This window comes from Homo sapiens, chromosome 9 (assembly GCF_000001405.40).
Source record: "Homo sapiens chromosome 9, GRCh38.p14 Primary Assembly".
In the NCBI taxonomy this organism is placed as follows: Eukaryota; Metazoa; Chordata; class Mammalia; order Primates; family Hominidae; genus Homo; species Homo sapiens.
Genome location: NC_000009.12, coordinates 135,237,434 through 135,262,615, shown reverse-complemented (window position 1 = coordinate 135,262,615; position 25,182 = coordinate 135,237,434). Strand labels below are relative to the sequence as shown.

Sequence of the window (25,182 nt, the reverse complement as noted above, 5' to 3'; positions counted from 1 at the left end):
GTCTGAGCTTCTCTCCTGCTCTCCCTGTCCCCACTGGGTTCGTCCCCAAGGAAGAAGGGTCTGTGGGCCCAGCAGTCCAGGAAAGCCAAGTCATCCAAGGGGGGATTCGGTTCAGGAAACACCAGCTCCTAATGACTCACGGTGCCACTGATGGCTTTGCCTGAACTAATGATTTCCTCCACACTTTCCAAAGAGGCCTGGCTTTCAGCCTGGAGGCCATGGGTGACTCTGCAGAAGAGGCACCTCTGTCTCCCTAAATACTTACGGTTGCCCAGCGTGTATATAGGGGTTGCCAGGGGGTGCCCCACTGGCTCATGATGTTAGAGGGACCTGGAGAGGTAGACATGCAGAGACACAGAGATGCAGACACAAGCAGACACACACAGACACACATAGACACACACAGAGAAACATGAAGAGAAACATGCAGAGACACAGACACATGCACACACACAGACATGCAGAGAGGCACACAGACATACACACACACAGACATGCAGAGAGGCACACAGACATACACACACACACAGACATGCAGAGAGGCACACAGACATACACACATACACAGACATGCAGAGAGGCACACAGACATACACACATACACAGACATGCAGAGAGGCACACAGACACACAGACACACAGACATGCAGAGAGGCACACAGACATGCACACACACACAGAAATGCAGAGAGGCACACAGACATACACACACACACACAGAGAAACACAAACACACAGACGCATAGAGAAACACAGAGACACACAGACACACAGAAATATGCATACACACAGACACAAGCAGACACACATGGAGAAGCACAGACACACAAACACACACAGACACATGCACACAGGCAGACACACAGAGACACACAGACACAGACACAGAGACACAGATGTACAGAGACAGACACACACACATATAGACACAGACACACACAGAGACAGACACACACACATATAGACACAGACACACACAGAGACAGACACACACACATATAGACACAGACACACACAGAGACAGACACACACACAGAGACATGCACAGACACACAGAGATACACACACATACACAGACACACAGATACAGATGCACATACAGAGACACACATACACATGAACACACGGACACAGAAACAGAGACAGACACATAGAGACACACACAGACACAGACAGAGACACAAAGAGAAATACACAGACACACAGGCACACACACACACACAGAGACACACACAGACACACAGGCACACACATGCACACATATACACAGAGGCACACATGCAGAGGGACACAGACACACACACATATACATGCAGAGATACACACAGACATACAGAGATACAGAGAATCAGACGCACAGACACACATTGGCACACAGAGATATAGATAGAGGCACAGGCACACACACACGCTCACATGCACACACACAAAGACATACATGCTCCCACCACCGCTGAGAAAATAAAGTTGCCCAGTGCACGTGTGGAAAGGGGCTGCTGGAGCGGCTGTACCTCCTGTCCTGGTTCCCAGTCCTCGGTCTGCTGGGACAGCTTTGCCTCCCATCCTGGTTCCCAATCCTCCGTCCCTGTTCCCTTTCTTATTTTAATTAACGTTTTTACTTTGAGGTAGTTGTCGATTCACATGCAGTTTGAAGGAATAGTACAGAGAGGCCACTTGCAGCCTTTACTCCGTTTCCGCCCAGGGGTAGCGTCTTGCGGAAGCCCGGGACGGCATCAGGACCAGCTGTTGGCACTGACATAGTGAACACACAGACACCCATGCCCTGAGGACCCCCTGCTGCCCTTCCATACCCACACCCGCCTCCCCCTGCCTTGCCCCTCCTTGGCCCCTGGCCCCCACCAATTGGTGCGCCATCTCTGCAATTTTGTCATGTCAAAAGTGTTCTATAAATGGGCTCGTCCAGGGTACAGCCTTTGGGGACGAGCCCTCCCTCATCCAGCCTGACTCTCTGGAGATGCGTCCAAGTGTTGCCTGTGTCAACGGCTGGCTCCTTTCCATCGCCAAGCAGGATTCTGCACCAACACGTGTGCGTGGCTTCTGTGTGAACATACGTTTTCATTTCACTGGGATAAATGTTCCGGGGTACAATGCTGGGTCATATTGCAGCTGCAGGGTCAGTTTTTATACGAACTGCCAAGCTGTTTTCCAGAGCGGCCGGGTTCCCGTCCACACCCACCAGCAACGGCGGCGTGCCCCACTTTCTTTGCCTCCTCGAAGCGTTTGGAGCTGTAGCGATGCTTATTTTGGGAGCTTTGATAGGCGTGTGTACTTGTTCTTCCCTCCTCTCTCCAAGCCTCAGTTTCCTCTGCTGTGACATGGTGACATGACTCACCCTGACCAACTCAGGGAGCTTTCACAGAGCCCATGGTGGCAGTGTCAGGAAGAGTTTGATGCTTTGTAATAGTACTATGTAGGGCTGGGTGCGGTGGCTCACGCCTGCAATCCCAGCACTTTGGGAGGCCAAGGCAGGGGGATCATGAGGTCAAGAGATCAAGACTGTCCTGGCCAACATGGTGAAGCCCATCTCTACTAAAAATACAAAATTTAGCTGGGTGTGGTGGCACGCACCTGTAGTCCCAGCTATTCGGGAGGCTGAGGCAGGAGAATCGCTTGAACCCGGGAGGCAGAGGCAGAGGTTGAGCCAAGATCACGCCACTGCACTCCAGCTTGGCAACAGAGGGAGACTCTGTCTCAAAAAAAAAAAGAAAAAAGAAAAAAGAAAAAAAAGTACTGTGGAGATAAGGACTTGTTATTATTCCAAGAACCAACGAGCTAGAAATTTGGAAACACAGGTTTTCTATCTTTCCTTCTGTATTTGATCATTTAATCCCACAGAACCCATAAGGAGAGGCTTCAAGAATGGTTGCTTTATGTCTGGACTCAAACACACCCCACCCAGCCTCTCCTGGGGAAGGTAAGGCAGGCACTGGAGGCCCTTTTCCGGGGGGGGGGGGGAATCTGAGGCTGGGAGAGGTAGCGTGGGCTGGCTGAGCACTTCTTCCATCCCTGTTCATGCTGAGCAGCACACAGAGGCCCATTTCAGCTCCACGTGGCCTGTGCACACCTCCAGGCAGAGGTGACAACATCATGAGCACCTGCCCCGCAGCTCCTGGGGAGGAGTGTCCGAGTGTCCCACATACAGTCGGCATCACCGCTGTCACCCCATGCAGACAGCATCACCGAAGTCACCCCATACAGTTGGCATCACCACCGTCACCCCATACGGTCGGCATCACCACCGTCACCCCATACGGTCAGCATCACCACCGTCACCCCATATGGTTGGCATCACCGCCGTCGCCCCATGCAGTCGGCATCACCGAAGTCACCCCATACAGTTGGCATCACCACCGTCACCCCATGCAGTCGGCATCACCGAAGTCACCCCATACAGTTGGCATCACCGCCGTCACCCCATGCAGTCAGCATCACCTTGGTCACCCCATGCAGTCGGCATCACCGAAGTCACCCCATACGGTCGGCATCACCACCGTCACCCCATACAGTGGGCATCACCGCCGTCACCCCATACGGTCGGCATCACCGCCGTCACCCCATACGGTCGGCATCACCGCCGTCACCCCATACAGTGGGCATCACCGCCGTCACCCCATACGGTCGGCATCACCGCCGTCACCCCATGCGGTCGGCATCACCACCGTCACCCCATACAGTGGGCATCACCGAAGTCACCCCATGCAGTTGGCATCACCTTGGTCGCCCCATGCAGTCAGCATCACCTCGGTCACCCCACGCAGTTGGCATCACTGCCATCACCCCATGCAGTCGGCATCACCACCGTCACCCCATACAGTGGGCATCACCACCATCACCCTATGCAGTCAGCACCACTGCTGTCGCCCCATAGAGTGGGCATCACCTCGGTCACCCCATGCAGTCGGCATCACCTCAGTCACCCCATGCAGTCGGCATCACCTCAGTCACCCCATACGGTTGGCATCACCTCGGTCACCCCATACGGTTGGCATCACCGCCGTCGCCCCATGCGGTCGGCACCACCGCCGTCGCCCTCGGACGCAAGGCCTTTCTCCAACCATTTTGCAGATGAGAAATTGTAGGCAGAGCAGCTGGTGGAGGTGGGGCAGGGGAGCGAGATCCCAACACCGGTCTTTCTGGCCCCAAACTACTTGCTTCTTCCTTTTTCCACTTCAGAGCTTGGCCCTATAGGTGCCCAAGAAATACTTCTGGGCCAGGCGCGGTGGCTCACGCCTGTAATCCCAGCACTTTGTGAGGCTGAGGTGGGCGGATCACTTGAGGTCAGGAGTTTGAGACCAACCTAACAGGGTGAAACCCCATCTCTACTAAAAATACAAAAAGGAGCCGGGTGTGGTGGTGGGCACCTGTAATCCCAGCTACTCAGGAGGCTGAAGCAGGAGAATGGCTTGAACTCGGGATGCAGAGGTTGCAGTGAGCCGAGATCGCGCCACTGCACTCCAGCCTGGGCAACAGAGTGAGACTCTGTCTCAAAAAAACTCCAGAGAACTTCTGGAAATGATATTAATTAGACTTCCGTTTGGTTCAAGCTGTCAGAGGCACTGTCTACTTTGGCAGCCAGAGAGGTCACAGGCCCCGGAATCACGTGGCTGGAGGACCAGGAGAATAGGCTGTGTGTGCTGGTGGAGGGGGTGGCTGCTGGGGCCCGGGTGGAAGTGCAGAAGCCAGGATTAAATGGGGCTGAACACATTGCTGCTTATTTAAGCCAAATGAGGAATTTTAAAAGAATTCTGATGCCTGGCCTGGCCCATCCCCTGGGAGGTACTCTGAGGGCCTCTGATGGAAGTTGTCCCTGGGAGTTTTCAAGGCTCCTGAGGCCATGGAGATACAGCCAGGGAGGGGCCACGCTGGACCCAGGGAAGCCAGGGCTGCAGCTTGTCCAGCTCTACCCTGGTCAGGACGGGGCTCCCAAATCCCTCCTGCTTCTCCCAGGGTGGCCAGCTGTGCCCCTGCCATGTTCCTTGCCTGCACCCAGGGAGGCTGGCAGCAGAGTGGTCCCGTGTCAGATTCGTGCCTCCCAGACTGAAGCCTCACACTACCTGTCCTGCAGCCAGCTCTCCCCAGGGCCTAGGGCCGCTCAGGAAGGGCACCAAGCCTTTGTGCACATCGCTGGGTTGCAACTAGCTGGAGGGAGTCCTTGGCTGCCGGGAGAACAGCCTCTGCTCGCTGCCTGCCCTCCCTATGCTGTGGGGCACCACGTAGCACTAAGGGCTGCTGCAGCACTTGACTGTCAGGGCCGCTGGAGGACCAGGGTGGACCGGGGGACAAAGGCCCTTCCCTTCAGGGAGGCTCCCAGTGGGGTCCCCCCATTCCCGCACAGAGTCCTTGGGGTCCCTGGCTGGGCATCAGGGCAACACAATGTACCCACCCCTGTGTGGGGCTCTGAGAACCCATACGGTGGAGGCGCCCTGGCCCAGGAGCCAGGAAACCTCCAGCCCCGCCTTCCGTCAGAGGGTGGACGAGCTGCCAGTGGTTGGTGGGGGGTGGAGAGAGACATAAAGAGACACAGAGACAGAGATAGAGAGGGAGAAAGGGAGAGGAAGGGAGGGGAGGGAGCCAGCTTATAAGTGAGACAGAATGACACTGGCCTTGGCATGGGGGAGGGAAGACACTTTTACAAAGAGGATTTAGACCCCATCTTTGTCACCAATGTCACTTGCCAACTCTGCGTGGACCACCTGCGCGTGCCAGGCTGGGCTGGGGCGTAGGGGTCCCTCCGAGAATGGGATGTCCGAGGTCCCCACTCACACAAAACTCATGTTCTAGCAAGCGTGCAGGGCGAGGGGAGCTGATAATTAACACGCAAATGGGAAAACTCAACTTGAATCACTGCCACGCAGAGAACTCTGCCAACGTGAGGCTGAGCGCACAGGGCTGCATTGTCAGGGCAGGAGTCTCCAAGGAGGAGCCATTTGCGCAGCATCGTGAATGTCAAGGAGACAGTTAAAGCCGGGGAGGCGCGCCCTGGGCACAGAGGGTCCTGAGCGCAAACACTCCAAGGGGCCACCCAGCCCTGCAGGGACAGAGAGGACCCCAGGGAGGCCTGGGCAGGCCAGAGGCGGGGGCTGCGCCCAGGTGGAGAGGAGGCAGAGGGCAGGAGGGGACGGAGCAGGACTTCGGACGGCTGTGCCGGGGCTGGGTCGGGGAGGGGAAGATTGAAGGGCAAGGCCTAATGTTGAGTTGTGTCGCTAGGTGGAGGGCAGAGCCTCCTACCCAGGTGGGGAGCAGGGGGGCAGCGAGGAGCCGGGAGGGGTCAGGAGATCTGTTTTGGCCACACGGAATTCATGCAGATGCATGAATCCAGGTGGAATCTTCCAGTAGGATCCGGACACCACACACCTGGAGTCCAGCGGAGGAGTCAGTGCATAGAGAGGCTGTTTCAAGCTGAGGGCCGGATCTTGCCCTGGGGGGAGCATGTGGAGGGGGCAGAGAAAGGCCCAGGACCCAGGGGCCTCTGCAATGGAGGATGGGAAGAGGGGGCAGCGGGAGGGGGGGATGCAGGGGCTACAGACACGGTGGCCAATGTAGAGAGAGGGGCATGTGAGTGTGGGGTCCGAAGAGCAAAGAGACGGATGGAGGGTGGACCATGGCGGGCACTGCAAGAGGCCAGGGAGGACATGGACAGGGGTGTGGACTTGGTCCTGGTAAACGCTGCTGTTCCTGCTCCCGGCAGAGGCGTCCCACTGGAGGTGGGAGGAGACAGGCTGGGGTGTGCGGGGGCAGGTGGGAAGTGTGAGCCACAGGAGGCTACGGTGAAGGCGTGTAGTGGCTTCCAGACGAGGCATGGGGTGGGGATGGGCAGCAGGTGGAGCTAGCGCCCTTGGCCACCCCCAGGGCACCCCCAGTGCAGTGGGCACTTCTTCCCCTGCTGAAGCGTCTCTGCTCAGGGGCCCCAGGCTCTGCTGACAAGTGCCCAGCCGCGTTGCCCTCTGAGGGACAATTTACATGCAAAGTTCACAGAGGCCTGGGAGGGTCCCGGGGAACTGGTCTGAGGTGGTAACTGGCCTGGTTCCTTACGCTTTACTGACGCTGGCCCTTTGGGCCTCACCCCCCACCTTGCTCATATTTCCTGGAGTCACTCCTCAGCAGGTTCTCCACACCCACCTCTTTGTTTCCAGGTCCAAGGAGACAGGGCCTCACTTGGGAGCACGCAGTGTGCTGCAGGGTGACGAGAGGGATTGATCAGAGGCCTCTGATGAATCCCTTTCTGCTCTAGCCTGGCCGAGTAGGCAGGCGGCCCTGGGGCTGCACCTCCCACCCCGGGAGAGTGCATCCCAGCACCTGTGAGCACAGAGAGGACTGTGGCCAGGGTGACCGGCTCCACGGAGGAACCTGAGAGTGAGTCTGCTGGCACCGCCCGAGGCTCCAAAAGGTGCCAGAGCAAAGGGGCTGGGGCTACCGTGGAACCCTGTGTGCAGGGAGGAAGGGGAAGCTGCGGCGACCTCAGCCCCCCATAACTCGAGGGGCAAGTGGAGGGGTGGGCCTGTGCTCTGTGGGCAGGTGGGGCATTCTCTGGAGCCTTCCTGGGCCCCTGCAGTGTGGGGTGTGGCCATGGTCCGCAGGAAGATGGATGGCCGAGACATGTTGGGCCATGGGGGTGCTCTGCATTCCTGCTGTCCCGAGCTGGACAGGCTGGCCCTCCTGTCTCATCCTGATGTCCAGGCCAGCAGGCAGGGCCTCCTTTGCTAAAAGATTAACTCTCTAATTGTCTGGAAGCCAAGACAGTGGCCCAGCCCTGCAGAGGGGTTCCGGAGAGATGACGCTGTCCAGGGGTTGAGAACGGTTTTTCCCTTTCAGGTAGTTCCTTGCCCCATTGTCCGCCCCGCTGGCTGGGTCCCACCGGCACTGCACCCTTGGGTCTGCTGTTGAAGTACGGGGCAGCAGACACCAGGATGAGGACAGCTGTGTGCAGACTGCTCCCTCCACGCCTGGGCCCTGGGCACCAGCTGAGCCCAACAGACAGGCGGTGGTCTGGGTGGGATCCGTGGAAGTGGACAGCTGTCACTCACGGCCGCGTCCCCTGGGCATCCTCTCAGCCACCCTGGTGCTTCCCCCAACCATGAATTCTGCCTTCTGAGGTGAAATACTATCATGATAATTACGAAGCTTCCCTCAGAGCTGAGGTGTAGGCATGAGACCTGGTTGTCAGCTGTCCCCGCGACAGTCTTGGGTATGAAAGGGAGCGGTTTGCCACAGTGGCACGCACGGGGAACCTGACTTGGGGTCCCCCTGGCCGCAGTGGAGGCAGCAGGTGCTGGGGCTGTCCTGTGGGAGGCTGGCATCTCCCGGCTACACGGGACACTCCAGCTCCTTGTTCCCATGAGACATCCCACCCTGTCCCAGAAATAATTTAAGCCATCCAGAGTCCTCTAATCAATCCCTTTCTGCTCACACTAGCTGGAAAAGGTTCAGTTGGTTCTTGACCAGCAGTGTTGACCCTTTGGGGAGTTAATTCCCTAAATGATTGCAGGCCACAAGTGCTCCAGGAAATGGGAATGGGTCCTCGTCCTGGCAGGTGTCGAAAGAAAGCATTGGTGGACCAAAGAGGCAGTGGTTGTCCTCTGGATCCATGCTCCCTCCTTCCTGATGCAGGGCTGGGCAGCACCCCCGACACGCCATGCGGTAGGCGTGGCTGTGATTCAGCCTCCTGGGCTTTTGCAGGCTCAGGCGGTAGATGGTGGCGGTGGCGGTGGCGGTGGCGGTGGCGGTAGTGCTCCCTCACGCCCTCTTCCTATCCTACGGCGATCCCGCTGTGGCCAGGCAGACGACGCAGGAGCTGAGGGCTGCCCGACGGCACGGCAGCAGGAGGCTGGGCCCCGAGCGGCCTCTCCCTCAGAGTGGCGCCTGCTGGAGAGGGGCAGAGTTTCAACTCCTCTGCTGCTGGCTGTTTTTGTTACTTGGCCTTTTATGCCGGCTGCTGCAGACAGGAAGAGGAGCATGAGGGCGGGGAGGCTGGAGCCAAAGGATGAGGTAGATGTCCCCCTCCCCACCCCACCCGTGCCCCCAGACCAAGCATCAGGGGTGAGTCAGAGGCCATCAGCCACCCCCGACCACCTCCCATCCACCACCCCCAGTCTGGGCTGCTCGCCTTGGGAGCGCTGCTTTGCCTGGAGAGACAGCCCTGCCTGAGGCTTGAATGACACACAAATCCTCCCTCCCCAAGCCTCGGTCAGTACCGGGTCTGCTTGGCCTTCTGTGATCCCCCACAGGCCCAGGCCTGGCTCTCCCTTGTGCTGTGGGTTCGGGGAGACTGGGAGTGACCAGGCAAGGTCAGGGCTTCGGATCAGGGTGTTAATTTTCTGCCGGTAGGCTGCCATGCCGAATCACCACAACCTTGGTGACTTAAAACCACAGCGTTTATTTCCTCACAGCCCTGGCAGCCAGAAGCCTGGGATCCGGGTGTGGGCCGGCCACGCTCTCCCAGGTTTCCTGCTCCTCCAGCTCCAGGAGCTCCCAGGCACTCCCTGGTGTGGGGCCTCGTCCCTCCAGCCTCTGCCTTTGTGCTCCTGTTTCTCTTCCTCTGTCTGTCTCTAGCCTGCGCTGCCTCTTTCTTAGGAGGCATTTGGAGCCCCCTGGATAATCCAGATGAGGGCTGCCTCTCTGAAGACCCCTGAACTAATCACAGCGCTCACTGAGTGAGGTGACATGAGGTTTGGGTCCAGGATCAGCAAGTGATGATGCCTTTGGGGTCATCCTTCTGGGCAGCCCCCTGGGGAGCTTTTCCTCCCCGGTCACTTGTGGGATAATTAGGGACTGGGGAGCCCTTGGTGAGCCTGTGTCCGTGGGCACGGGGACAGGAAGAAGGCGGCTTTCTGAGGGTGTCTGTGGTCCATGTTGCCGCTGCTCTAGGGAGGACAGGCCCAGCGGAGCAGCTGATGGACTAAAAACTGGCCATCTTTGATCAGAGGGATCGTGGATTTTTGCAACTTTCCTGGCCAGACTTCGTCAAGGCCCTGCCGGCCTGCTGGACACTGATTGATCAAAGATTGATCAAACAGCTCCTCCCCTCACTGAGGGCAGATGCTTGCTTCAAGGATCAAACAGCCCGGCTCTGCCAGGCACCGCCCAGCAGCAGAAGGTTGTGCTTCAAGTCTGCACAGCCCTCCAACTTTGGATGTTTCTTAGACCACCGGGGATGCAAGTCTTCTAGTCCTTTCTATTCAGACCAGCACTGACGGTGAAGGAGCTGAGGCCAGGGTTGGCCATGTGGAGGCGTAGGTGAGCGTGTGCCTATGTTGCGTACGTGTGCATCTGTGTCACGGGCACATAGGTGTGCGTAGGCAGGTGTGTGACTGCACGTGTGAAAGCGTGCGTGTTCAAATGTGTATGTGTGCGTGTGTAAGACGGGCACATGCATGTCACGGGCACATGGGCAGGTGCGCAGGCATGTGAGGGTGTCTAGGAACGCGTGTGAAGTGTGTTGTTCTGGGTGCGCATTTGCGTGTCCATGCATGAGCTATTTTCCGTGTGTGCACGTGTGTGCACCTGGGCTGTGGGTATGTGAACAGCCGTGAATGAAACTCCACAGGAAATGGGCAGTAAGACCTCATGTGTATTGGGATTCGGTTCCACACCCCTTGGAGCACTGCACTGCCCTCTGACACAGAGCCCAGGACCATGCCTCTAGGGGAAATTGTGTGGCACTGACAATTCGATGTGGCACTTAGAAAGGTGGCCTGAGATACTCAGTTAAGTGTCTTGAGGGGACAGTGCCGTTTCCCTGATTAAAGAATTGGCTCATCTCCTGCATCGCAAGGCTGTGAGAGGAGAAGTGCAGGGCTTCCCTTCCCTGTCGAACGCCCTCCTGGCCCCCGACTGCTGTCTTGGCTGAGCACAGGGACCCCATGGGGACAGATCTGTCATCTGAGGGGTCCCCTCACTTGCTGTGACAGCTGGCCCAGATCTCTGGGGCGCACTTTGTTTGCTTTGCCAAAAGTCATCACCAAGAGGAAGGTCATCTCTGCAGAGCCCCAGTGACTGGCTGGCCCCACATTGGAAGAGGCCCCGGGATGACACAGGTTTAGCCCCCATAGTCAAAAACCGGTCCAGCCCCCCTGCTGTCACCCACCTCCCAGACCGGGGGCACACGCTTGCTCCTTCTGGAGTGAGGAGGCCCTGTGGGGTCCTGTCCAGTGGATGCTTGGCCGATGCCATCTGGACCCCCACTTCTTGCTGTGCAGGCTGGGGTCTGTCCTGCTTCCCAAATAGCTGCAGGGAAGTCAGCCCCCTGAGCCTCAGCTGGCCTATGAACATGAGTGGTGCCGGGATGTCGTCTCTCTTTGACTCATGAGGTTTTGAGGATCAAATGAGAGCTTATGAAGCACCTACCGTGTGCCTGGCGCTTGCGGGGAGCTACTTGCGGGGAGCTCTCCGCCCAGATGGTCATGTGACCCACCATCAGACCAGCTGAGTCCCACGGCACCTGTCAGGCTGCTAAGTAGATGAGGGAGATTCAAATCCAGCTCTCTCTGGCAGCCCCTCCAGTGCTACCCAGCCTGGCTGAGAACACTCACCCTCAGCTGAGGTGCTGGAAGAACCCACAGGCTAGCTGGGTGCAGCCCGGCCCTCCCCGATCCTGGCTGAAGGCTTCCGGTGTCCTGCTGACCTGCGGCAGGGGGCCAGAGTGAGCACAGCACTTCCTTTACCGGCTCCACCCTGCTTCCTGGGAGAGGATCGTGAAGCCGAGATTGCAGGTCCCCCAGGGTCCCCTGAGGCTGTCAGATGGCTGTCTTGGAGTTTCACGAGGTGGCTCATCTTTACTGCTCCTCCTTATGCTGGGTTGTGACAGTCTCCCTTCTTGAGCAGCCTCCAGGCAGGCTCCTCTGAGCCATTTTTCAACTAAGCCCAGCCTTGGGCCTTGTCATTAGGAGTCTATTTTATTTTATTTTATTTTAATATTTTATTTTATTTTATTTTATTTTATTTTATTTTATTTTTTGAGAGAGTCTCTCTCTGTCACCCAGTCTGGAGTGCAGTGGCACGATCTTGGCTCACTGCAAGCTCCGCCTCCCGGGTTCACGCCATTCTCCTGCCTCAGCCTCCCGAGTAGCTGGGACTACAGGCACCCGCCACCACGCCCAGCTAATTTTTTGTATTTTTAGTAGAGATGGGGTTTCACCATGTTAGCCAGGATGGTCTCGATCTCCTGACCTCGTGATCTGCCCACCTCGGCCTCCCAAAGTGCTGGGATTACAGGCATGAGCCACCGTGCCCGGCCAAGGAGTCCAATTTTGGCGAGAATCCTGCCGCGTCAGTTAGAGAGAATCCCCATCCTCAGTATCTGATCACCCTTGATATCGGGCCAATTCCTCATCCCCACCATCCCCAGTGATGTCTGATCACCCTGGCTGGCCTTTGCCAAGAATCTGGTTGGCTCAGTTGAGCCAGAGCCTCCGGGACTCCTGATGCCCCCTCAGAGTCATTTTCCACCCACTGCCCCCCGGCTCCTCGGCTGTAAATCCCCACCGGTCCTTGTATCCTGAGCGGAGCCTAGTTCTCCACGGAGCTCTGTTTCCCTGTGTTGTAATAGTGCCTGATTCCAACCTGCTTCTCCGGCCTTCACTCTGTCCTGCTGTGCCTCTTTGAGAGCTGAGTGGGTGTCTTTGGATGCAATGCACAGGGCGGCTGGGAGCCCCTGCCCTGGGAATGTCACGTGTGCCTTTCCACCCCAGCAGCCTTGTCTTCCACAACTGGTGTTGGCAAAGCAGTGGAGACGCCCACCCCACCCAGGGCGATCCACCTGGTGGCTGGTTCCAAGCCTTTGGGGTGGGGAGGAGAGAGAGTAAAGTTAGGTGGCTGCCCGCACTCTTGCCCCAGTGGGTCATGTGGCAAACAGGACCTGGACATCCTCAGGGCAGTGAAGGCCAAGGGGAAGCAGGATCCATAAGCTCCTCTCTTCTTCTCTCTCCCTCCCTCCCCCTCTCCCTCCCCTCATGTCCCTTCCCTTCTCTTCTCTCCCCAGGGCCCCAAGAATGGCCCCAGTGTGTCTCCCTCGGCCTTCCTTCCTGGGCCTTCCTGGGCTGCTGTCCCTTCTGGAAGCTGAGCCTTCCAGCCTTGGGAGATGCACTGTGGATGTCCACTTCAGTAGACACTTAGGCAGGGCAGAGTGAGGCTGGGTGGCAGCAAGGAGGGCGAGGGAAGGGCTTTCTGGAGGCTCAGGGAGCCATGAGTGCCCAGGCCTCATCCTCTTTGACAAGGACGTTGTCCGAAGGTGGCCCCGAAGCAGGGGCCAGACACAGTGGTGGCTGCTGTTTGCGAGGCTCGGCTCCAAGCAGGAACGAGCCCCTTGGCTGAGGGGATTCGTGTGGGAGGGTCAGGGTCTGAAGCCACTGCCAAGGTCTGAGGCTGGTTCAGCTGCTTACAACCTTGGGAAAGGACTGGCCCTCTGCATGACTCAGTCTCTGCATCTGTGAAGTGGGGTCATAGCAAACCCTCCCTCACAGCACCATGATGGGGATAGGAGGAAGGAAGGCCTGCGGTGCCCTCAAGGGCTGGCATGGGGTGGGGGCCACCCAGGAAGGCTCGACAAGGATTCTCATCATTTTCTCTTCAGCGCTAGTGGCTTTGGCTCCTGGTGGGGTGCCCGAGGCCCTCAGGGTAGCATGGCCACTGTGCTGGGCACCCGGACGCCATCCTGTAGAGGTCAGGCCACTGGCCACCGACTCTGAAGCTTTGCCTTCTCAGGTGTCAGGTGGTGGGAAAGCAGGGCTGCGCGCGTCACTAGTGCAGAAACTGCCCAGGGCAATGCGCAGGTGAGGGGTGTCCAGGCCTTGTCCTGAGCGAGCAAGGGAACCCCTCAACATTCCAGTGCTTTGTCTCCCAAAGCAAGGCTGTTCCAGTTGATTCTACCCTCCCAGGTGCACTCATGGAGCACCTGCCACCCTGGAGCTTGAGGCTGCCTCTAGGACTGACCGTGGCCACAGCCTGGGGTAGTAGCCTATTGCTGCTGCCATAGGTAGAGAAAATAGCATGGGCCTCCTGCATTGGCATCCACCAGAGAAAGGGACCTCTTTGTCCCGTGGTGGTCCGTCTCCTGCCTCTCCCTGAAGCCCTTGCTTCCCAGCGAGGGCTTGGCTGGTGCTCCCCTCTGTCCAGTCCCAGGGTTGGAACATCCTCCCTCCACGGTCTTTTAGAGTCCAGAGGGGTGGACTCCGCCCTCAGAAGTGCTTGGGGCCTTGCCTCCTGTCTTAGCTCCTCCCACCAGGGTTTTCTGCCAGCCTCCGCATAGCTCTCATTACCCAGCCTTTGTTGTCCAATGCGGGCCCTGTAGGATGGGAGTCCAACACCATGGCTTCTGGAAAAGGGAGAGGCGGAGTGGCCGGGACCCACGGGGCTTCTGCAGTGCACTTGCGTGCCTGTGGACATCCTGAGGCCTGGGGCTCATTCCCAAACAGCCAGGTCAGAAACATGCCTAGAAGCCTGGTTTGATGAATCTCCAATGTGCCAACCCCAGATGGAGAAAAGGAAGGGTTTGGGGAGGCACGGGCTGAACTATTTGTGTTTATCTCCACAATGATCTTGTGATTGGGGACAGCGTGGGAGACCTGTCACTCCTGCATTCTGTTTTCCTCTCTTCTTCTCCATTTAATCATCATCTGACCCCCTAGGAGGTTGGTTCCTGCATTCCAGGATGGATGAACCACAGCAAAGAAACCTTAACAGCTCCTCCCTTGCCTGGCCGAGTGGCCCTTCATGGCAACGTCCACCCAGCACCGGTGTCCCGGCGCCTGGGAGTCAGCCCGCTGCAGCCCACAGGCTCCTCCCGACGCACGGGGACGAGGGCTCAGAGCCTGGCACTGCCGACCCCTTTGTCAGGGCTCCGTGCGGCACAGCAGGGCCAATCTGGCCTGGGGTGGGACGACACCTGTGCCAGAGGCTGTAGACGGACGGTCCCAGCGTGCCCGACACACCCTGCACCGGAAGGCACCTTAGCATGTGGCATCTCCCAGCACACCGTGCCTGGCAGGAGGCTCCGAGAAAGTCAGGCCCCTGGCATCCCGGCCCAGAAGCTACCCCAGAGAAACCCAGTCCTGCAGGGTTCATTCCGGCATAACTCCAACTCTTTACTAGACTTTCCTGATACCAGGAAGGGAGCACGTGGCACCCATCAACTCTCCTGAAAGCCCCTCCTCTTCCTCCACTCCCCTTAGGCACGATGCCCAATGCCTTTCGTCTGCCCCAGGCTTCTTGAAATCAACACAAAACAAGCCTACTTCTCCCCGGTCCCTAAATTCTCCCCAGCCTCTAACTTCTCCCCAGCCCCTAGCCCTGGGGTTTCTCATCCTTGTTAATATTCCTTCCCTTCTGCTAAGCCTGTTTAAAGAATGAAAAAAAAAAAACAAAACTAAACCAAAACAAATAGGCGTGCCAGCCACGGAAACCCCCTTGGAGGGTGGGGAGAGGAACACACACAGTGGCCCCCTCTAGTCTCCTGAGGACGTTGGGGAAGCCAGTGAAGGGCGTCCTGCTAGGGATTTGGGTGAGTTGTTGCTGCAGGATGAGGGGTGATGCTGGGGCTCCGCTGGGACGTGTCAGGACTCAGGGGGGCCGGGGCTGGCAGCCCCAGGGCTTCTCCATCACCCGAGGCCTGTGGAGCTTCACGTGCCTCAGGGATTCCTCTCCTTCCTCCTTCCTCTCTTGCCCCCCTCTCCTCTCTCTCCTGCCTCCCCTCCTCCTCCTCCTCCCGGTCTCTCCTGTCTCTCCCGCTCCTTGTCCTCCCCTCTTCCTCCTCTCTTGCATGTGGCCCGCACACCTCTCCTGGCTTCTCTACTGCCCCTGGCCTCTCAGGTCCCACGCCTGCCTTTACCATCCCATAGTCACACCTCTCTTGCCCATACTCTGGGAGGAGAGGCTCCAGCCAGGCCAGCCCAGGCTTCCAGGGCTCCACGGTGGGTCTGTGCCCACTCTTGGGCCTCCCCGTTTGCTCATAGAGGGTGGGGGAGGATGAGCAGAAGGAAGGAGGGAGAACAGATGTTTGCCTCCTGCCAACCAAGCCTCCTGTTCTCCTGAGAAGAGTGCTTCAGAGATCTGAGCGTCGCCAGCCACCCCGGGAATAGACATCAGCTTCATTGTGCTTCTCCTTGAACTTCGTGGCTACCCTGAGCCCCACACCAAGAACACCCAGCCCCGGCTCCATACCTCCCACCTAGTTCTTGTCCTCCTGGGCCTCATTGTAGGCCCCAATTCTCCATGCAACCCATGCCCCAAAGCGTCCACCAGCCCCCATGGCCCTGTTCGGTGTGTCCTCTGTGAAGGCAGCTTCCAGACGTCTGTCCCAGCCCTGTCCTCCTGCTGCCTCAGCGATGTTCCCTAAGACCATTGATTATCCGTTTATTCATTTACCCAGGGAGATGGAACATCGGGGACGCACTGCTTCTCTCCTGCTCACGTAGAACTTGAGGACAGAGGCTCTGTCTGGCATCTGAAGACCCAGCAAAGCCCAGCTCTGCCAGCAGCTTGCCAGGACCTGAGAAAGCCCCTCTCTCCCCGGGCCTCAGTTTCCCCAGATGTACGTGGAGGGATTGGCCTAAATGAGCTCAGCGGATCTCATGGCCCCGATCCTGGCAGGTTGGTGACTGGCTGCCCTGTCCCCAGCCCTGTGGGGGTTCAAGGTGTGAGCCTTGTGGTGGGGGTACACAGGGTCCCCCAAATTCATGTATATCCAGAGCCTCAGAATGAGACCTTATTTGGAAACAGAGTATTTGCGGATACAATTAGGTAAGGACCTCTAGCTAGAAGCATCCTGGATTTCGGGTGGGCCCCAAATCCAATGACTGCTGGAGAGGACGCCAGAGCCACAGGGAGAAGCGGCCACGTGGAGACGGAGGCAGAGGCTGGAGTGAAGTGGCCAAAAGCCAGGGCGCGCCTGGGCCACCAGAAGCCGGACGAGTACAGGAAGGTCCTCCCCTAGAGGCTTTGGGAGAGCCATGGCCCTGATGATGACACCTTGGGTGTGGACTGCCGGCCCCCAGAATTGTGGAGATACGTTTCTGTTGTTTTCAGCCACACAGTTTGTGGTGCTTCGCTCCAGCAGCCACGGAACATGGATCTGAGCCCCGAGAGATTCCTGGATGTGGGAGACCCACCCTCTGTCCTTGGTGGTTGGTGAGGGCTGCAGGATTGGGGCTTCTGATGTTATTGTCCTGGGGACAGACTCCCTGGGCAGGATCACGGAGGGGGCAGACTGAGCTGGGACAAGGGGCATTCGGGCCTCGGGCAGTGGGGCAGGCCCTAGAGTGGCAGCCAGTCATCACAGTGATTTCCCTGAACGGGCAATGTTCCTTTCCAGGCTTAGTGCCCTGGCGGCCTCGGGGAAGTGGAGAAAAGAGAGGGGCACCAGGGTTACGATTCTCAGCTTACTGAGGTCTGATGTGAATGGCATGCAAGCCTCTGGCCAGGACCGGCCAGTGCCACCTTCTGAGCATGTTCTGAGTGTTGACTCTGCGCCGGGCACGGGAGATGAGGCTCCGGCTCTGTGGAGCTGCATCCGGCTGGGGAGAGATGGACAAGAGAGAGCAAACACCCCCGTGCCGGGCTTCACATGTTGAGCCCAGGAGCAGATGGTGTGACCTGGGCAAAGGGCTCAGAAGAAGGCCCCACCGGGCACCCCCGAGTGTCCCCAGAGCCTCTGTGTGTTCTGGGCACTGTTCCCAGAGCTGCCCTGAGCCAACCGCACAGTCACCACACCTACCTTTGGAGCAGGCATTTGGCAGACAAGCAGGCAGAGCCCAGGGTTAGAACAAGCACTGCTCCGGCAGGAGGCAAGGGGACCCAGGCTGGCCCGAGCGCGTCCTCCCACCTGCCTCTTTGCCAGCTGCTGCCAAGCTTCGGAAACGATCCTGGAATTCAGCTCCGTCAGGGCTTTGCCTGGATGGGCCATGGTCTAGTGAGCATTCATATTAATAGTACTCATTAATATTAATCAGACCAAATGTGATGCATGTCATTTTGTTCTCACAACCACCCCAGGTACCACCTGTGACTCAGATTAGGAGACCAAGGCTCAGAGAAGCCGAGCAGCCTGCCTGCCTCACGCGGGGCGGGGAGTGGGGGCAGTGCCAGAGTCCAAAGTCTGACCATGTGGTCCAAAGCTCTGGCTGTCACCTGGACACGGCGCTGTCACCTGGACATGACGCTGTCCCGAAGGCGCAGAGGCGACAGCGCCCGCACCCCACGCTCGAGCTTCAGAGACGCTTTGCTCACTTCACACTGCCAGAGGCGCAAGAGCCCGGGGCGAAGACCCGCTGGTGAGCAGGGACCACGGCGCCTGGCCCGCTGGGCTGGGTGTCGGTGCTCCCCAAAGCTCCGGGCAGACCATCCATCACCCGCCGGGAGGCCAGCCGAGCCGCACGGTGCCGCTCGCTGGCTGGGGGCTCGCAGCCAGGCAGCAGAACAGGGGACTCAGGAACCCGGCAAAAAGAACCTCCAGTCAGGGAAAGATTGCTTCCTGACAGCTAATAGCCCTTTCTGAAACCAAAAAAGTGTTTCCCCTTTATTCCAGCACAGGAGAAATGGTGAGACATGCTGGCAGAATTATAGCAACTTTTTAGCTCCCGGAGGGAAGAAAAAGCCCCATTGCTATGAAATAAAACCGCACTCAGCCCCGATCCTCGGTGAGTCACGACTCGGGAAGCGGGAGCTGAAACCCCCACCACGCACAGGGGCCCCAGGCTTCCCCAGCAGAGCTGCCCGCCAGGCGGGGTCTAGACAGGGTGGTGGATGGCAGTCGCCCACTGCCCTAGGCCCATTGGAGTCAGAGTGCAGCTATAGCCAAGAAGTAGCTGCTGAGTCCGTCCCGGAGACCGGCCTGGGGAGGGGAGCCCATGATCTGTTTGCCCAGATGCTGAGGCATGATCCAGAGCACTGCCTGTCCGGCTGGTGCTGCACACATTTGGGCTGCTAGGAGACAGGGTGGAGAGGCAGCTGGAGCCAGAATGCAGTGTGCAAACGGAACGTTGTGCCACCTAAACGCTGAGCCACATGGGTGGCGGGAAGGGAGACCCACAGGTGCAGGGGTCTGCATCACTGTCCAGGCTTGGACCCTGGTGAAAGAAGGTGCCTGGTTTTGCTGGAGCAACAGGAAGTGAACAGGGGCCTTGCCGGAAGCTGTGCCCACGGGCTCTGACCTTTGGGAGGGGTCGCAGCTCCCAGATTCCCAGGCTGTCTCAGGAGGTCCTGCGGAGGTTGAGACTGGCATTGGGGATCCCAAAGATGAATGTCTGTGGGTGCGGGGAGCGCAGTTTTGGGTTGCGAACAGGGGCTCCCTTATCAGAGGTGGGCCACGAACACTCAGCCCAGAGTGGCTGGAAAAAGTCATCTGGGAAGGCTCACCGGCTGTCTCTGGAGGGAGTGAGCCGTGCGTCACTACAGGTATTCAAATGAACACAGCGATTGCAGTGGATTGTATACAAGTTATAGGAAGGGAGAGCTGCAGGGGACCTCAGGGATCGTTCCGTCTGATGCTGTTTCCTCTGAGGAGGAATTGCCCCAAGACCCCAGCTCAGTGCTGCAGGGTCATGGCTAAGATGCCGGCATCCAGACCTGCAGCCCAGGGGCCTTCCACAGGCCCCTCCCGCCCTTCTACAGTGCTGTCTGGGCTGCCAGGGCGGGCATGGGGGCTGCCCTGGTCCCCCTCGTGCACTTTTGGGCTGGTCTGCTGACCATAGACGGGCCTCGGGTCCCCAAAAAGCCCCCAAGATCATCTCTCCGGAGACTATGTTTCTGACAGCAGCTGAAAGCTCACAACTTTCACTGGACACCTGCTGCCTGTCAGGCTGGAACCAGGCCCCTTGCTCTGCTATCTCAGTCTCCTTCCAAGGCAGGAAGAAATGGAAACTCAGAGAGCCCAGGGCCATCCCCAGGGCAAGCCGCGGGGCTGGGATTTCCTCTGGGTCCCGACTGACGCTGGCGCAGCTTGAGTCCTCCACACTCATCACCAACTGCCAGCTTCTGACGTCCAAGGGAAGAGACAGTAGCCAGCAGGCAGAGACAGCAGAGGTTGCAAGGGCCCCGGGGCAGGGGCACAGATGGCATGTGGGGCAAGGTGAGAGGCGAGGGGAGTGGTGCCCTGAGACCTGCACAGGGGTTACCAGGTTAGAGTCAGGAGTGATTCACGCAGGGCCAAGGTTGAGCAAATGAATGAATGAACGGCCAGGATGCAGGGGACAGCGGAGAGGCTGGAAAGGAGGCGAGGGCTGGGAAGTGGACAGCCGTGAGCAGCGGATGAGGGTGGAGCCTGGGCATGCTCTGGAGGAGGAGGTGGGAAGTCACACAGGCTGCCCTGAGGCTGCGGGGAAGGGGACATGCTCAGGCTATGCTTCAGGGAGGGTCCTGCCTGGGTGGCCTTGGAGGGGACAGTGAGGAGGACAATGAAGAAAGGCCACCGGGCACTAGTCTGGTGGTCAGAAGAGCCTCAGCCAAGGTGTGGCAGAGGCGCCAGCGAGGTGGTGTGAAGGCAGGCCGGGGGCCTGGGGTCGGGGAGCAGGCAGCAGGAGTGTGGAGGGCAGATTGGCCCAGGACACACACCAGACATTGGGGGTTCAGAAGGGGCACTCAGGGTGGGAAGCAACCTCTCCCAACCCCTCACGTTAATCTCCACGCTTTTCCTCTAAGTACCAAACTTCCCTGCAAAGGCCCCAGCAGCCCTGGCAGGCTCTTCCTCGCCTGTGGCTGCCCGATGGCTCCTCCTGCAGGCCTGGGCTTGCTGGGGTTGCAGGGTCAGGGGAACCATCCCGGCGTATCTCAAACCTGTGCAGCTTCATGGCGCGTGCCAGGAGAAGCTCTGTAAAATTCACGGGCTGGCTCCTCTTGGAGCATCAGGAGAAGCAAACAGAGAGACAGGCCTGGCATTGAAACTACCAGCAGACATCGCTCATCTCCCACAAAGGTGCAGACGGCAGCTGTCACGATGCAGAGAGCAATGGGCGATTTGTCAGTGGGAACCAGAATGAACTTAGATTTGTTCTTGAGAATCATCTCACCCAGAGCCCTCAGGATGGTTGGCTCTTGGCCGGCTCAAACTCAGGGGCGGGGCAGCCACAGGCCATGGCCCGCACCCTGCCAGGAAGCCTAAGGTTTCCTCGTTTATCAGTCCACAAGGTGCTCAGCCCCTGCAGATGGATTTGGCTGCGGCTAATGTATCTGCTGCACTCTTGGTTGAGTGGATCTCCCGATTTCCAAGTGAATTGCAACCTGTTATTTTTATAATGTGGAAAAAAGCCCACCCTGGGCTTAGCGGCCTTTACATCCCCTCCCCCAGCCTGCTGGTCCTTTCCTTCTGACCTGGTTGGGGGCCTGCTGCCTGGTGGCAGGCTGGGCTCTCCTTCAGGAGAGCATCCAATCATCTCCACGCAGATGCTGCCCCGGAGAGAGCCATAGAAGGCGTTAAAGCAGAGATTCAGCGCCGACTTGTCACGCTTGAAAATAAAATGGACCAGAATGATCTCATGCTGGAAACTTTATGAAACAAGCTCTTCCCCGCCAGGGTTTATTGGGCACCTCCCGTGCGCCAGGCGGTGTCTCATCCTCACAGCCTCTCCCAGGCCTGGCGACTGCTGCCCCTATTTCAGCAAGAAGAATGTGGAGGCTGATGCCTTGTCCATAGCTGGATGGTAGCCAGGGAAGAGTGGGCCTGGCCTCAGCCCTGTAGACACCCAACTCTGAGGTCCTTTTACTAGGCTGATGGAGGTTTAGAAGAGATGACCTTGAACACCCTTGAGGTCATGAAATAAAGGGAGGGATCTAGAAAGCCGAAGAAAAGGAGAACCACTCCAAGGACCCCGGAAGCTTTAAAATGGACCCTCCGAGGCATGGCCAAAGGATTTTATTTCACATGCTTTCTTCAAGTCTCGTGAATACGCCGTCAATACTCCAGCTAACTAACCTTTCTGAATCACACCAGTTCCCAGTCGCCCATGAGGATGAAGGCCTTGGGAATAGTCGGACATTGGGATGGAGCAGAGATGGACATTGGGAGTGATTTTCAGCAGAGGGGTGGTCTGGGGGCTCCTGCCGGACGGACAAGCGGCTCCCCACTCTGGGGCCCCACGTTGCCAGGTGGGGGTGGTTGACTGGAGGCCGCTCTGACAGCCTGAGCCTGGCTTTATATTTAGGTTGAGTAGGTGGCTGCCTACTTGGTGTGATTTCACAGGCTCTTGAGGGCCTCTTCCAAACCCCAAAATACCTCCTCCACCTGCTTCCTGGTGCTGGAACTTCTCTGATAAGAGAACAGCTTCCTGTTCCTAAGTTAGAAAGAAAGCTGGCTTGCCCCTTTGTGTTGGAGCCAGCACTGATCTAAGTGAGCTCCCCAGCGAGCAGCAGGTGCAACATAGTTTTGGGGGCTGAGAAGGCCACTTAAGGCCTTGTCCAGAAAGGCATTGCAGAGTCCCCTCCTGGTCCTCTGTGTCTCCAGGGAATGTGTAGGAACTCATGGCAGTTGATCCTTGACCTTTGCAGAACCAGGCTGTCTCCCAAATGCAAGGTTTGATGCATCCCTGCCTCTAATGATGCTGCCTTCCAGCCTGAGAGGCCAAGGACACTGACAGTTTTATACCTACACCATCACACATCAGGACACGCTGAGAGAGGAAAGAAGAATGTGCCACAAGGCATGGCCTATCAGATGAGGGCATTCGAGCTGAGGCTTTGTTGGGTGAATAGGAGTTCACTAGACAAGTAATAAGAGAGAGGTTTCCACGCGGTGGGAACAGTGTGTGGGATGGCTCAGGCAGGAAGGGGCTGGCACGTTAAAGGGCACCATGGAAGCAAAGGGGCCCAGGCATTGAGGGGGGAAAGCTGGGAGACGGGGCAGAGAGAGGCAGACAGGAGCCAACCTGTACTCACAGTGGGGCCACACCCAGCAGCACGGCAGTTAATGACACCGGGCGCCTGTCAGGGATGCGCTCAAGGCCCCACCCAGGGCCCAAGCTCCAGGAGATCCCAAGGTAGATGGCCTGCTCTGAGAGCTTGAGAGCTGCCACCAGGTTGGGCAGAAAACTGGGCCTTCCAGCCTGGGTGAGGGGGTCCGCTTGCTGAACAGTCACGTGCCTGAGCTCTGGGGACATGGCAGGCCCAGCTCCGATCGGCTTTCCTCACCCTTCAGGGCCCGCAGGCCAGGGGGGCTCAGCTCCCAGGGTGGTCAGTGCTCAGCAGAGGATCTGTACTTGTACTCTGATTATACCTGAGAGCATTTCAAGGACAAGGGACACACCTTTGGCCTCTCTGTATCCTTCAGAGAACCTGACACAGTTCTGGGCTCAACAGACACAACGAGGATGGATTGCAGTGCAGAAGCAACCCAGGCCCTGCACCCGCGAGGCCGCCTGCCGACCTGCTTCCTCGCATCCCCGTCACCTGTTTTGCTTTTAAAAATATGTTTCAGATCATTAGGGCAAAAATGTTCAAAGCAGAGTAAAAACTCATTAGTTCAGACCCGGTTATTCGGGAATCTAGAATACCACGTTCTGAGCATCCGGTTTAATGAACACATTTACGAGGTAAAAAATTGAGAGTTCTTAGTTTTCTTGAACCAGCTACTGATTCCACCTGCTAACCTTTTGGGGTAAAAGACTGTGGTTTTACTGGAAAACATGTTCTCATGGCAAAGGATTGCTGACTGCCTTCTGAGGCACTCACGTGATCCGCTAAGGTGCGATCAGAGGCTGCAACTGTTCAGAGCTGCCCTGGGCTCCCGTGTGGGACCTCAGACTGTGCTGTTTCCCTGCAGTGGCCTCTGCTTATGGGCATCGTTAGAGAAAACATTAACCTGACAGTTGTTAAAACGGCAAGGAATTGGGAGGCCGAGGCTGTTGGATCACCTGAGGTCAGAAGTTCGAGACCAGCCTGGCTAACATGGTGAAACCCTGTCTCTACTAAAAATACAAAAAAATTAGCCAGGCATGGTGGTGCATGCCTATAATCCCAGCTACCTGGGAGGCTGAGGCAGGAGAATTGCTTGAACCCGGGTGGCAGAGGTTGCACTGAGCCAGGATTGCAATATCGCACTCCAGCTTGAGTGACAGAGCGAGACTCCGTCTCAAAAAAAAAAAAAAAAAAAAAAAAAAGGGAGAGGGGGCAAGGAAGACTTTATTCAGGACTATTGCAATAGGTGTCAAAACAATCACAGTGGGAGAGAGAAATCAGGCTCAACTCTCAATGCCACAGGGCAGCTGGGATTTGCAGGCATTGAGTGGAGCGAGGGTCGGGGTGGAAAGTTATGAAGAGCCAAGTTAGACACCAAAGCCCAGGGGTTATTGCTACAGGCAGTTCAAGGACTTTGATATCCAGGATGGGGGATGAGGAGCTTGGGCCAACAACCAGGTTGAGGGCTTAGCCCAGGAGGGTTCTTGACCTCAGATATCAAGGGTGGGGGGACTTTTGCTAAGCAAACCTAGCAGGAGTTTTGCTAAAACCAGACTATGTGGCCAAAGATGAGGCCCATGAGTGAGGCCTCAAAAAGTAGGCTCAGGGGAGGCTGGCTGAGGTTTGGTTAGGGAGCGGGGGTCTTTGTCCTTGTGTCCTGGGAAGCTGGGAGGAAGCGTGAAACACGTAATGGGTTGCAGTCCTGGGGAGGGCTCCAAAATAATCAGCAGGTGGTGGGGGGCCCAGCGGCCACAGCTGCAGGCCGTGGAGCTGGAGATCTGGGTAGAAGCCAGTTCTGCCATCCACCATGTGAGTCCCCTCTAGTCTCAGGCCCTTGTCTATGGAGTGGGGACAAGAATCCCATCCTCAGGAAACTGGGGAAAAGCTTGGCACTGCAGAGGGCAAACAATATACTTCATTTACCTTTAATATTATTACACAAGCAGTGAACGCACACATTTTTATTCTGAAATATTCAAGCAAATGTCTATAGAATAAAATTTGGACGTCTCTTTGCTTTGTGACTTGCTCCACGTTAGCCACTGGTAAGCATGTCATACGCAGCAGCATCAGCATCAGCATCATCATCATCAAGATTATTTCAGTCGAGTGGGATCAGATTCAGCACAGCCCAGCCTCATCAATGGGGCTCAGAAGTCTCTGCATGTCAGTGTGATTGGTAAGTTCCATTCATTCTTCTTCCTTTTATTTTTATTTTTTTTTTGACACAGGGTCTCCCTCTGTCACCCAGGCTGGAGTGCAGTGCACAGCTCACTGCAGCCTCAACCT

At 57.4% G+C, this 25,182-nt stretch overlaps 1 long non-coding RNA gene across 3 annotated transcripts, besides 2 other annotated features; it reads left to right on the top strand.

The window, feature by feature from the left end:
• Nucleotides 1,338–1,837: an enhancer, noted in NCBI's record as "H3K4me1 hESC enhancer chr9:138152625-138153124 (GRCh37/hg19 assembly coordinates)". NCBI's record gives its function as "activates a minimal SCP1, AML or CMV promoter by ChIP-STARR-seq in naive H9 embryonic stem cells {active_cell/tissue: H9 hESC(naive)}" and the evidence as "EXISTENCE:reporter gene assay evidence [ECO:0000049][PMID:30033119]".
• On the top strand, nt 7,182–24,910 carry LOC107987138 (uncharacterized). Of its 3 annotated transcripts, XR_001746967.2 has the most exons (3): nt 7,182–7,374; nt 9,886–10,254; nt 16,382–24,910. It is a non-coding gene; the product is annotated as an uncharacterized LOC107987138 (long non-coding RNA). The 3 variants fall into 3 exon arrangements; XR_001746968.2 differs by lacking the exon at nt 9,886–10,254 and having other exon boundaries at nt 7,182–7,408; XR_001746966.2 differs by lacking the exon at nt 7,182–7,374 and having other exon boundaries at nt 8,901–10,254.
• Nucleotides 11,360–11,931: an enhancer, noted in NCBI's record as "H3K27ac-H3K4me1 hESC enhancer chr9:138142531-138143102 (GRCh37/hg19 assembly coordinates)". NCBI's record gives its function as "activates a minimal SCP1, AML or CMV promoter by ChIP-STARR-seq in primed H9 embryonic stem cells {active_cell/tissue: H9 hESC(primed)}" and the evidence as "EXISTENCE:reporter gene assay evidence [ECO:0000049][PMID:30033119]".
• Nucleotides 24,911–25,182: the final 272 nt, after the last annotated feature.